A 14,499-nucleotide genomic window follows, 5' to 3' on the forward strand; every position below is an offset into this window, starting at 1 on the left:
TCTGGTTTCTCTATTCTGTTCCATTGGTCTGTGTGTCTGTTTTTATGCCAATACCCTGTTGTTTTGGTTACCATATCTCTGTTGCATAGTTTGAAGTCAGGTAATGTGATTCCTCTAGTTTTGTTTCTTTTGCTTAATATGACTTTGAATATTCTGGGTCTTTGTTGGTTCCATATAAATTTTGGATTGTTATTTCTGTTTCTGTGAAGAATATCATTAGTATTTTTATGAAGATTATATTGAATCTGTAGGCTGATTTGGATAGTATAGACATTTTAACAATGTTGATTCTTCCAATTCATGAATGTGGAATATCTTTCCATTTTTCTGTGTCCTCTTCAACTTCTTGTATCAATGTTTTTCAGTTTTCATTGTAGAGATCTTTCACTTCTTTTGTTAAGTTCATTCCTAGGTATTTTACTTTATTTGTAGCTCTTATAAATGGGATTGCTTTCTTGATTTCTTTTTCAGATTGTTCCCTGTTGGCAAATAGAATGCTACTGATTTTTGGATGTTGATTTTGTATCCTGCAACTTTACGGGATTTATTTATCAGTTCTAATAGTTTTTTGTTTTGTTTTTTTGTTGTTAGAGTCTTCAGGTTTTTCCAAATATAAGATCATATTGGCTGTAGACAAGGATAATTTGACTTATTCTCTTCTCATTTGCATGCCTTTATTTCTTTCACTTGTCTAATTGCTCTAGATAAGAATTCCAGGACTACATTGAATAACAGTGGTGAAAATTTGCATCCTTGTTTTGTTCCAGATCTTAGAGGAAAGGCTCTCAATTTTACCCCATTCAGTATGATACTAGCTGTGGGTCTGCCATATGTGACTTTTATTGCGTTGAGATATGTACCTTCTATGAACAGTTTTTTGAGGGCTTTTATCATGAAGGAATGTTTAATTTTATGAAATGCTTTCTCAGCATCAATTGAAATGATCATGTGTTTTTGTCCTTCATTTTGTTGATATCATGTATCAACAAAACATCGATTGATTTTCATAGGTTTAACCATTCTTGCATCTCTGGAATGAATTCCACTTGGTCATAATGAATAACCTTTTTAATGTGTTGTTGTATTTGGTTTGCTAGTATTTTGTTGAGGGTTTTCACATCAATGTTCATCAGGGATATTGGCCTGTGCTTTTGTTTTTTTGATGCATCTTTGTCTGGTTTTAGTATCAGGATAATACTGGCCTCATATAAACAGATTGGAAGTATTTTCTCTTCCTCTATTTTTAGGAACAGTTTGAGTAGGATCGATATTAGTTCTTTTTTAAATGTTTGATAAAATTCAGCATTGAAGCCATCAGGTCCTGGATTTTCTTTGCTGGGAGACGTTTTATTTTGGCTTCAATCACGTTTCCTGTTACTGGCCTATTCAATAACAGGCTTTGGGATTTCTTCATGGTTCGATCTTGGTAGGTTACATGTGTCTAGAAATTTATTCATTTCTTCCACAGTTTCCAATTTATTGGCATATGGTTGCTCCTGGTAGACTCTAATGATCCTTTGAATTTCTGTGATCTCAGTTGTAATCTCTCTCTTTTCATTTCTGATTTTATTTACTTGTGTCTTTTTTCTTCTTAGGCTGGCTAAAGATTTGTCAATTTTGTTTATCTTTTCAAAAAACCAACTTTTTGTTTTACTGATCTTTTATATTGGTTTCTTAATTTCAAATTCATTTATTTCTGCTCTGATCGTTATTATTTCTTTTCTTATACTAATTTTGGGTTTGGTTTTCTCTTGCTCTTTTAGTTCTTTAAGATGCATTGTTATTTGATGTTTTTCTGCTTTTTTGATGTAGGCAGTTATTGCTACTAACTTACCTCTTAGTAGTGTTTTTGCTATATTCCATAGGTTTTGGTATGTGCTGTTTCCATTTTCATTTGGTTCAAGAAAGCTTTTAATTTCCTTCTTAATTTTGTCATTGACCCACTAGTCATTCAGGAGCATATTGTTTAATTCCATGCGTTTGTATAATTTCCAAAGCTCCTCTCGTTATTAATTTCTAGTTTTATTCAATTGTAGTCAGAGAAGGTACTTGATATAATTTCCATTAAAAAAAATTTAAGACTTGATTTGTGGCCTAACATATGATCCATCCTTGACAATGATCCATGTGCTGAGGAGAAGAGTATGTATTCTGCAGCCATTGGATGAAATGTTCGGTAGTTATCTATTAGATCCATTTGGTCCATAGTACAAATTAAGTATGACATTTCTTTGTTGATCTTCTGTTGGCATGATCTGTCCAAGTGGGATGTTGAAGTCTCCAGCTATTATGGTATTTGGGTCTGTCTCTCTCTTTGGCTTGAATACTTGCTTTACATATCTAAGTGTTTCAGTGTTGGGTTATACATGGATTTATAATTGTTAAATCCTCTTGCTGAATTGACTGTTTTATCATTATATAATTTCGTTATCTCTTTTTATAGTTTTTGTCTTGAAATTAATTTCATCTGATATAAGTATAGCTACTCCTTCCCTTTTTTTTGGTTTCCATTAGCATGGAATATCTTTTTCCATACCTTTATTTTCAGTCTATGTGTGTCTTTTTAGGTAAAGTGTGTTTCTCGTAGCCATCAGATTGTTGGATTTTTAAAAACCCATTTAGCCTTTTGTCATTTGATTAGAGAGTTACTCTATTTACATTCAATGTTATTATTGATAAGTAAGGACTTACTCTTGCCTCCTTGTTATTTGGTTTCTGGTTGTTTTTTGGTATTCTCTTCCTTCCTTCCTTCCTTCCTTCCTTCCTTCCTTCCTTCTTTCCTGCCTACCTGCCTTCCTGCCTTACGTTTTTCTTCCTTCCTATCTTTTTTAGTGTGAAGTGATTTTTTTCTGGTGGTATGACTTAATTTCTTGCTTTTCATTTTTTTGTGGTCTGCTGAAAGTTTTCTGATTTTAGGTTACCGTGAGGTTTGCAAATAACATCTTTCTACCCATTATTTTAAACTGATGAAAACTTAACTCTAATTAGAAAACCAACCAAACAAACAAACAAAGAAACAAGCAAAGCCAAAGCTAATAAACGCTCTACACTTTAACTTCATCTCCCCTACTTTTTAACTTTTTGCTATTTCTATTTCTATCTTATTACACTGTTACGTCTTAAGAAGCTGTTATAATTATCATTTTTGATAGGTTTGTCTTTTTGTCTTCCTACTCATGATATGGGTAGTTTATATACCACAATTATAGTGTTATAACATTCTGTATTTGTCTGTATACTTAGTATTATTAGTTAGTTTTGTACCTTCAGTTGATTTTTTTATTACTCATTAATGTTCTTTTCTTTCAGATTGAAAAACTCGCTTTAGCCTTTCTTGTAGAACAGGCCTGGTGTTGACAAAATCCCTCAGCTTTTGTTTATCTGGGAAAGTCTTTATTTCTCCTTTATCTTTGAAGGATATTTTTGCCAGGTATGATATTCTAGGATAATTTTTTTTTTCCTCCAGCACTTTAAAATACATAATGACCCTCTTTCTTTGCCTGAAAGATTTTCACTGAGAAGTCAGCTGCCACATGTATTGAAGCTCCTTTATATGTTATTTATTTCTTTTTTCTTGCTGTTTTTAGGATGCTTTCTTTATCCTTGACCTTTGGGAGTTTGATTATTAAGTGTCTTATTTGGGCTTAATCTGTTTGGTGTTCTATAACCTTCTTGTATTTGAATATTGATATATTTCTCTAGGTTTGGAAAGTTCTCTATGATTATCTCTGAATAATCATTCTACTTTAATCTCTCCCTCTACCTCCTCTTTAAGGCCAATTACTCTTAGATTTGCTCTTTTGAGGCTGTTTTCTAAATCTTTTAGGCACACTTTATTCTTTTTAATTCTTTTTTCTTTTGTCTCCTCTGACTGTGTATTTTCAAATAGTCTCTCTTCAAACTCAGTAATTCTTTCTTTTGCTTGATCAGCTCTAATGAGACTCTGATGCATTCTTCAATTGGCCAAGTGAATTTTTCAGCTCCAGAATTTCTGCTTGATTTTTAAAAATTATTTCAATCTCTTCTTAAAATTTATTTTATAGAGTTCTGCATTTCTTTTCTGTGTTATCTTGAATTTTCTTGGAGCTTCCTTGAAACCACTACTTTGAATCCTCTGTCTGAAAGTTCACATGTCTCTGTCACTCAAGGATTGGTCACTAGTTCCTTATTTGGTGCATTTGGTGAAGTCATGTTTTCCTAGCTGATCTTGATTCTTATGGATGTTCATTAATGTTAGGGCTTGAGGAGTTAGGTATTTATTTTCATCTTCACAGTTTGGGCTTGTTTATACCCATCCTTCTTGAGAAGGCTTTCCAAGTATTCAAAGGGAAGTGAGTGTTGTGATCTAAGTCTTAAGACTTTGGTCACTGCAGCCATATTTGCATTAGGGGGCCCTCAAGCCTAGTGACACTGTGACTCTTGCAGACTCATAGGTGTAATGCATTGTTGGTCCCACTAAGATCCAGGAGAATTCCTTGGATTACCAGGCAGAGTCTCTTCTCCTCTTTCCTTACTTTCCACCAAACAAATAAAGTCTCTCTGTGTGTGTGTGTGTGTGTGTGTGTGTGTGTGTGTGTTGAGCTGCCTAGAATTGGGGGAAGGGTGACACAAGCACTCATGTGACCACCACCACTGGGAATGTGCTGGGTCACACTTGAAGCCAGCATGGTACTGGGTCTTGCTTAAGGCCTGTGGTGACTATTGCCTGGCTACTGCTGTTGTTTATTCAAGGCCCAAGGACTCCTTGGTCAGCAGGTAGTGAATCTTGTCAGGCCTGGATCTTTCCTTTCTGGGAAATGGGTTCTCTTCTGGCCCAGAGTGGGTCTAGAACTGCCATCTGAAAGCTTAGGCCTGGAATCATGGATTTTATGAGTCTGCTTGGTGCTTTATTTTACTGTGGCTGAGCTGGTACCCAAGTTGCAAGACAAAATCCTTTTTACTTTTCCATTTCCTTTTCCCAAGCAGAAGGAGTCTCTCCACAAGTTACAAGCTGCCCTCTCTGCAGTTGGAGAAAGGGTGATACAAGCACTTCTTGGTGACCCCAGCTGGTGTCTCACTGGGTTGTGTGCACCGCAAGTCCATTGGCCCTAGCACAGCCTTCCACAGCACCAGGCCTTATTTACCCAGGAATTGCAGTCCTTGTGGTCTAGACTGCCTTTCAAATTTATTTAGGACTCCAGAGCCCTTTAGCCCACAGTGATGGGGCTAGCCAGAATTCAAGTTCTGAACTTGGGGATGGATGATTCCCTTCTGGCTAGGGCTGGTCTAAATACTCCCTTCACACGTGCTGGCTGAATTCTGCCCTGTGTTGCTTTCCAGTATGACAGAGCAGCACTGACTTCCAATGTAGAGTACCACAATCATTTTGCTATCCTTCCCCAAGCACACAGATTCTCTCTCCATGCTGCACGATGCTGCAGGGGGTGAGGATGGGGTGGGGAGGGGCAGTGTAGATAATTCAGGACTGTCTTTTGTACCCTCTATGTGCCTCTTTGCTTGCTATGATATCAAAGCCAGGTACTGTGATTGCTCACCTGATGTGTGGTTCTTATGAATGTAATTTCTTGTGTGGATAATTGTTCATTTTGGTGTTCCTGCAAGGAGGATGATCATTGGAGGGTTCTCTTCATCCATCTTGTTTCACCACCTCATCGATGTTCTTAATGGTATCTAGAATGGTGAATTCTTTTCAGAAGGTTTTCAGTTTACTTTGCCAAGATCCGTCAGATGAATCACTATCTATGGTACTTATAGCTTTACAAGTTGTATTTCTTAAATAAGACTTGAAAGTCAAAATTATTCCTTAATCCATGGGCTACAGAACGGTTGTTGTGTTAGTAGACATGAAAAGAACATTAATCTTGTACATTTCCATCAAGGATCTTGGGTGACTAGGTGCATTGTCACTGTGCATTAGTATTTTGAACGGAATCTCTTTTTTTTGAGCAGTAGGTCTCGACGGTGGGCTTAATGTGTTCGGTAAACCACATTGTAAACAGCTGTGCTGCCATTCAAGTTTTGTTTCATTTATAGAGCACAGGTAGAGTAGGTTTAGCATATTTGTTAAGGGCCTTTGGATTTTCAGAATGGTCAGTGAGCAATGGGCTCAACTTGAAGTCACCAGCGGCATTACCCCCTATCAAAAGAGTCAGTCTGCCCTTCTGAGCTTTGAAGCCAGGCGTTGACTTCTATGAGCTATGAAAGTCCTATATGGCATCTTCTTTGAATATAAGGCTGTTTTTATGGACACTGAAAACCTGTTGTTTTGTGTAGCCATGTTCATCGATAATATTAACTAGATCTTCTTGATAACTTGCTACAGCTTCTACATCAGCAATTCCTGCTTCACCTTCCATTTTTACATTATGGAGACAACTGCTTTTTTAAACCTCCTGAACCAACCTCTGCTAGCTTCAAACTTTTCTTCTGTAGCTTTCTCACCTCTACCAGCCTTCATAGAATTGAAGAGAGTTAGGGCCTTCCTCTGGATTGGGTTTTGGCTTAAGAGAATGTTGTAGCTCTATCCAGACCACTCAAACCTTCTTTATATCAGCAATAAGGCTGTTTTGTTTTCTTATCATTCATGTGTTCACTGCAGTGGTACTTTTAATTTCCTTCAAGAACTTTTTCTTTGCACTGGTATCTTGGCTAACTGGTGAAAGAGGCCTATCTTGGCTCTCAACATGCCTTTTTCACTAAGCTTAATCATTTCTAGCTCTTGATTTAAAGTGAGAGATGTGTGACTCTTCCTTTCACTTGAATAGTTAGAGGCCATTGTAGGGTCATTAACTGGCCTCCTTTCAATATTGTTGTCTCAGGAAATAGGGAAGCCTGAAGAGAGGGAGAGAGATGGGGCAATGGCCAGTTGCTGGAGCAGTCAGAACACACACAACATTTATCAATTAAGTTTGCCATCTTATGTTGGGCAGTTTGTGGTGCCTAAAACAATTACAATAATAACGTCAAATATCACTGATCACAAATCATTATATCAGATATGGTAATAATAGAAAAGTTTGAAATATTGAGAGAGTTACCAAAATGTGACACAGAGATCTGAAGTGAGCACATGCTGTTAGAAAAATGTCACTGATAGATTTGCTCGACTCAGGGTGTCCACAAACCTTCAATTTGTAAAAAATGCAGTATCTGTGAAATGTAATAAAATGAGGTCTCCTATATCATGATAGGCATATAAGAAAGCAACAGGGCCTACTTATCACTTGTACCAAATTGGGTAATCCCAATTCAGCTTTATCTGATGCCTGCATGTAGTATGTTGAGCATTAGTATAAGTAAAAATAAAATAGTAGGTTGCTTCTTACTTAGTTTCTATTCTTCAGGTAAAAATCTTCCTTGGAGAATCCGGCCCCACAGTCTGTCATAATAAAATCCTACATGGAAGCCAATATCAATTAATTGAAATTAGCATGGAGGCACAATCTATTTTCCACACTTGCTCTGCAGCCATTCTGCCTGGAAGCATATGTGCTCATTACCGTTATGTTGAACATATTAGCCATGTATTTATCTCATGCATCTGTGGGCTTTCTACTGGCGCTGCTTTGAAGCTGTGGGAGGTCACCACAGAACATCATTAAACCACTGGGGAGGAAAGACTCAGTAGGAAAATTCAAATAGCAAGAAAAAGGTCATGAATCACAAAAAATTCAAAGGGAAACATGCTTTGAATTCACTAGAAGTTTCTTGAAACATTCTTAGTTGTATGTAGGGGAATATCTTTGGAATGAATCAGTCATCGTTTCTTCCTCAGTACCATAGAAAGTTGTATAAAACAGAGAGTCTTCTTAGAAACCAGTCAAAGAAGCTTGGCTTAATTTTCTTGATCTGGAAATGCAAGCACATCAGCAAGGATGTAAAAAAGTACTGAGAAACGAATCACTTGCTTTTGGATGAGGCAGCTATGATTTTCATTGAATCTGGGAGAAAACACTAGCTTTTTATTACCTTAAATACAAATATTCTTGAACTTCAGCAGTCTTAGTATTCAGCTACCAGGTGTTTTGTGCTATTACGTCAGAGTTACTGAAGAGAGATGTGCCTTCTCTTCTGACACTGGTTTATAAATGGCTGATACACACTTTAATCAGTTGCTCAAACTGTGGTTCGTCAATTACCGGTAGCAGGATCATCACCTGGAGTACTCGTTAAGAATGCAGATACCTGCTTGTCGCCCCAGACTTCCTGAATAAAAATATCAATGTGGGATGCAATGCATGAAAATCTGAAATTTGTAACAAGCATAATTGATAGTAATATTGAGAACAAGTGTTTAGACCTGTGCCTAAACTTCACCCAGTTTAGTTACACCAGATATGCTTGTCAAATCATTGGAATACAGGTTAATGTATTAGGCTTGAACTAAGAGACGTGGTGTCATAGCTCATTGGAATCTAAAGAAAATTAGTCTGAGTTTTTTCTTTCTCCTAATGTATCCCCTTTAATTCTAGTTTCTCTAGGTTCAAAAGAAAGAGGAGTGAAGAGGAGTAAAACACACATCTATTAAAAAGCAAGAAGATTAAATAAATTGAAGCTTTTTATTTCTCTTTCTCTGCCTAAGGTAAGTCCAACAGTGTTTAAAAACCTAAGTTTGTGTTTTGTTGCAATGTAAAATAGGTCTCTTGTATAGCCTGCTTGTTTTAATATCAAAAAATAGCCGTGTGAAGCCCCAAGCAAGCAGGGAGGGAGGGTGCAGCACAATCTGCAAAAAGATGACTATTTTACAAATTTAAGCATCTCACATACAGGCATCCATCAATAAGACTGTAGTGATATCACTGCTCGCTGCAATGTTGTTATAAATATGTTGCAGTGAGCATTGCTGCAGGTCTTAAGGCTCTGTATGACTCTGTTTGGGGAGAATAAAATAGGATTTTACAACATCTGATCTCAATGCATTTTGATTCTAGTGACGCATTTGTGAGCATGACTGTCAAAGAAGCAAATAAGCATGTAGAAGGTGACTTTATGGCGGCATCCATAAAGAAAATTGAAGTGGGGGAAGTGGCAACGTTTTGGGTAATTCAGGAAAGTGAGGGAAATATATAGTTTGGATTCTGAATTATTTATTCAGGCTTTCTATGTTAATCCAATCCATCTTAGTTGTTACTCAATTTTACATTTCCTGTGTAGCTGTAGGCTGTAATATGTTCCTTTTAGTGTGATCCTAGTAGATTCACAGTCAGTGGGCTGAATGGGCTTTCCTTGTCTTCTCATTTGTATGCAATGATAATTATGGTTGTAGTAAACATTTATTGAACATTTATGTGCCAATCACAGCTCTAATTACTCTACTGCTCATTCATCCTTTATAATGGCTCTATGAGGTAGATATTAACATTTCCATTTTATAGATGAAGAAAACAAGACTCAGACGACTCAAAAAATTTGCACAACTGCAAGTAGCACATCTAGAGTTCAAAATTGCTTGACTAATTTTAAGGCTCTGCTTTTTATCTGCTACACTATGCTGAGAGCTGTGAAAATGAGGTTTGATTCAAAGGCAACCTTAGTGTTGTTTTCGGTCCTCATTCTATAGCTTAATTCATAGCAAGTAGCATATAAGAAAAAACTGTGAGGATGAAACACAACGGCACCGAGTGTGGGATCTAGTTTTCTGAAAAGCCTCAGAGGAGTCAGGTATTGCAACTTGCAAAGATGTGAGGGATGAGGATTGCTCAATGGAATATGAAAGGTGGAAGAGACCTGGGCAGATTAATTTCTCCACCTTCCTCTCTCTAACAGACTGCCCCAAGATGTGATTCTTCTTTGCAGTCTTTCTGGAGAAGTTGTATGTGACAAGCAAACATATCTCCTGAGTGTCCTGTTGGTCTCGTGGCAGCTTGTTGTAAAGTGGAGAAACATCATTTCACATCACTTTTTCTTTGCCTCACTTCTCTCTCTCTTTTTTTTTTTTTTTTTTTTTTTTTTTTTATCTCACCCTCACTCTTTTGGGCTTACACCTTCCAAATAAAAGGTATGCTACCATAATGGGGTGCTCGATGGGGTGCCTCATGTAATACTTCTTAAAGTTCTGAGGCTGAAACAGTAATCAATATATGCATAGGCCTTGTGTGCCAGACCCATTGTGTCAGACACATTAACTCACTTACTCCTGGCAAAAAACTTAATGAAATACTATCATTATTATCATTCCCATTTTACAGATAAGGAAATTAAAGTACAGAGATGTTAAGTCCTTCTGTGGAATCCAGCATAAAAAGAGGATTTTGTACATGGTGACTGCACATGGACACGTGAATGAATGAATGAATGAATGCAAGCTTGCTCAATGGAATAAAATGGTCGGGAAAATTTCAACTTCTAACATTCACTGGACGCTATCACTTACATTTTTCCATTTTCTGAAGAAAAATCAATCCAGCATCTAGCAAAATACATTGCACAGATTAGATAATCAACATTTACTTGTTAAAATAATGCATACAATATTTTCTAAGCTCCATTTTTGGGGGTGAGACAACAGATACAAAATATTTTTCTAAATATTAATGGTTGCACAGACATACAAGGGATTGAATAACATGGCTCAAGGAGCTCAGACTATGAGGGAAGATACTAACTTGAAAGATACTTTGCTACACCTTTGCTTTGTTTACCTGAAATAGAGCTTAGCTGCTGAAATTCAAAGTTCCTTAGGATTATAACACCAACAACGAATAAAACAAATAAAAGATACTGCTATGAAAATCAATGTGGTATCCAGAAAAATAAATAGCCAAGAAATGAAGCATTTTTTTGTGCTCTATAAATTTTTCTTAGCATCATTTGTAGTTGGTCCTTTGCTAATGGTCTTTGTTTCCTGTTTGATGTGACTGCTAGTGGTATACTGGCCCATGTTCAAGTATTGATGAGAGCTTTGAGGGACTTGAGAAGGCTTAAAGATTCAGCAAGGATTGGAAACAAATGACTGGAGAGTAAAAATGATACAAGGGTGCCAAAGCTTAACCTAAAGCTTCAGTTTTCTGATATGGTTGATGATTCCTATTTCCTTAGATATTTCTGCATTTTTTCCTTTTTTTCCCAAATTCTTCCATCTGGTTTTTAAATGAGTTGATTTTGTGTAAAAAATGGAATATCAGAACTTGGAATAAAATTTCAGTTAAGCCCAGTTTATTTTTACCATATTATAGATGATTTCCTGAAAAGTCTTTACAGCCTTAGAGCCAAGTTTTTAAAGCCTGTCATTTTCCATTGCACTGTAATCAGGCATCTACCTGACAAACTATTTCTATACCTCTGTGTAAGGAAAGTTGTGGATGTGGTCATTTCACCTTTGGGGAACTCTTGTAGACTTTGTCAGATGCTAGTTGAATCTTACCATCAGTAAAGCTAGAATATCCATGTTGATTTTTAAGATCCAGTCAAATCCTAAGCTCCAAAGTGGTCTCCTTTGACTCCATGTCTCACATCCAGGTCATGCTGATGCAAGAAGCGGGCTCCCATGGTCTTTGGCAGCTCCACCCCTATGGCTTTGCAGAGTACAGCCCCTCTCCTGGCTGTTTTCATGGGCTGGTGTTGAGTGTCTGCAGCTTTTCCAGGTGCACAGTGAAAGCTATCAGTAGATCTACAATTCTGGGGTCTGGAGGACAGTGGTCTTCTCATAGCTCCACTAGGCAATGCCTCAGTGGGGACTCTGTGTGGGGGCTTGTACCCACATTTCCTGCCCACACTGCCCTAGCTGAGGTTGTCCATGAGGGCTCCACCCCTGTAGCACACCTCTGTCTAGACATCAGGCATTTCCATACCTCTTCTGAAATCTAGGCAGAGGTTCCCGAAGCTCAATTCTTGACTTTATGCACCTGCAGGCCCAACACCACATGTAAGCCACCAAGGCTTGGAGTTCGCATCCTCTGAAGCAACAGCCTGAGCTCCACATTGTCCACTTTTAACCCATGGCTGGGTTGTAGGGCACCAAGTCCTAAGACTGCACAAAGCAGCAAGGCCCTGGGCCCAGCCCACGCAACCATTTTTCCCTCCTAGGCCTCCTCACTTGTGATGGGAGGGACTGCTGTGAAGACCTCTGACGTGCCCTGGAGACATTTTCCCCATTGTCTTGGTGATTAACATTTGGTTTCTCATTATTTATACGAATTTCTGCAGCAGGGAATTTCTCCTCAGGAAATGAGTTTTTCTTTTCTATCACATCATCAGGCTGCAAATTTTCTGAACTTTTATGCTCTGCTTCCCTTTTAAACATAAGTTCCAGTTCCAAACCATATCTTTGTGAATACATAAAGCTGAATGCTTTTAATGGCACCCAAGTCAACTCTTGGACACTTTGCTGCTTAGAAATTTCTTCCCCCAGATACCCTAAATCATCTCTCTCAAGTTCAAAGTTCCACTGATCTCTAGGGCAGGGGAAAAATGCCACCAGTCTCTTTGCTAAAACATAGAAAGAGTCACCTTTATTTTAGTTCCCAACAAGTTCCTCATCTCCGTCTGGGACTACCTCAACCTGGACTTCATTTTCCATATCACTATCAGCATTCTGGTCAAAGCCATTCCACAAGTCTGTAGGAAGTTCCAAACTTTCCCACATCTCCCTGTCTTCTTCTGAGCCCTCCAAACAGCTCCAACTTTGCCTGTTACCCAGTTCCAAAGTTGCTTCCACATTTTCGAGTATCTTTATAGCAGGAGCCCACTCTTGGTACTAGTAAGCTGGTACATTCTCATGCTTCCAATAAAGACATACCCAAGACTGGGTAATTTATAAAGGAAGTAGGTTTAATGGACTCATAGTACCATATGGCTGGGGAGGCCTCACAATAATGGTGGAAGATGAAGGAAGAACAAAGGGACTTCTTACATGGTGGTGGGCCGGAGGGATTTTGCAGGGGAACACTCATTTATAAAGCTATCAGATCTCGTGAGACTTATTCACTATCGCAAGAACAGCATGAGAAAGACCCACCCAAGAACTCCCACTGGGTCCTTCCCAAGACACGTGGGAATTATGGCAGCTGCAATTCAAAATGAGATTTGGGTCTGGACATAGCCATACATTGTCACCCACTATGATGGTGGATTTATCTAATTTATTTTTAACTTCTTATTTTAAAATAATAGAGTGACAGGAGTTGCAAAAACAGTACAGAGATTCTGCCTATGCTTCGCCCAGTTTTCCCCTATGGTTATATTTTTATATAACTATAGTATATAATCTCTACAAGGAAATTGACATTGGTACAACGTGTGTGCCTAGACCTGTGTCATTTAATTGCATGTGTAGATTCCTCAACACTGCTTCCACTGCAATTAAGACACAGATCTATTTAGGGGGATAGAAGATTAAGGTCTTCTATTCTCTTTTATAATCATATTCAAATCCTGCCTACTGCCATCCCCTAACCCCTGGCTACCACCAGGCTCTTTTCCATCACTATAATTTTGTCATTTTGAGAATGTTATATAACCTGAACCTCAAAGTATGCAGCCTTTTGAGATTGGCTTTTTAATTCCAGCATAATACTTTTGGGACACATCCAAATTTGTTGTATTAATAGTTTACTGTTTTTTGTTGCTGATGGTGGTGCATGGTATGGATGTACCACATTTTGTTTAACCATTTAGCTATTGAGCAACATGCTGTCAGTTTTTGGCTATTGAAAATGAAGCTGTCACTAATATTTGTTACAGGTTTTTATATGGGCATACGGTTTATTTTTTCTGGATACATGTCCAGAAGTACAATTACTGGGTCCTCTAGTAAGTGTATGCTTAGTTTTTTAAGAAACTGTCAAACTATTTTCCAGAGCAGCTGTACCATTTGGCATTCTGCCAGCAATGTATAACAGATCCACTTTCTCTGCATCCTTGCCAGCATTTTCTATTGTAAATATTTTTTATTTTACCTGTTGTAATAGAAATTTTTAACAGAATAGATCATCATTTCTTATTATGGTCTTTATGTACATTTCCCTAATGAATAGTGAAGTTGAACATCTTTTTATGTGCTTATTTGCCATCTGTATATCCTCTTTGCTAAAATGTCTCTTCATGTCCTTTGCCCATGTTCTAACGGATTTCTTCATTTTTACTGTTGAGTTTTGGGACTGTTTCAACTTCCCTAATCTGCACCCGGAGTCACCCCAAAGGGGCAGCAGAAGAGTTTCCACAAAGGAGTGCCCGAGCCTTCCAGAGATGAAGCTGGTTGAGATTCCAAAAAAGGAAGCACTGAATGCTGGGGTGATAAGTCCAAAGCATTTATTAAGGGAACTTACAGCATGCTGCAGAAGTCCTCACTACTGACAGCAAGAGAAAAAGGGTGTTCTATCTGAGATGTCCACAGTGAGGAGTTCAGGGTATGGACTTTATATGAGGGTTTAAAGAATTTGGCTTGGGACCACATTAATTTCTTTCAGTGATTTGAGCAACAACCTAGATACCTTTATTAGTACCTGAAAATGTTCAAGGCTCCAGTTTGCATTCAAGCCAGCTAGGAAAAACCTGCAGCTC

The 14,499-nt window shown here is 37.9% G+C and overlaps 1 long non-coding RNA gene across 4 annotated transcripts in view; it reads left to right on the forward strand.

The window, feature by feature from the left end:
* The window catches only part of LOC105376941 (uncharacterized), a 28,394-nt gene extending 17,623 nt beyond the window's left edge, over positions 1 to 10,771 (forward strand). For 2 of the 4 annotated variants that reach the window (XR_001740586.2, XR_001740587.2), the window contains one exon: positions 8,472 to 10,771. This is a non-coding gene — a long non-coding RNA (uncharacterized LOC105376941). The remainder of the gene's footprint in view (positions 1 to 8,471) is intronic. The other 2 variants (XR_001740588.2, XR_001740589.2) reach the window with 2 other exon arrangements.
* The last annotated feature ends 3,728 nt before the right edge of the window (positions 10,772 to 14,499 follow it).

The sequence above is a fragment of the Homo sapiens genome, chromosome 3 (genome assembly GCF_000001405.40).
Source record: "Homo sapiens chromosome 3, GRCh38.p14 Primary Assembly".
Lineage (NCBI taxonomy): Eukaryota > Metazoa > Chordata > Mammalia > Primates > Hominidae > Homo > Homo sapiens.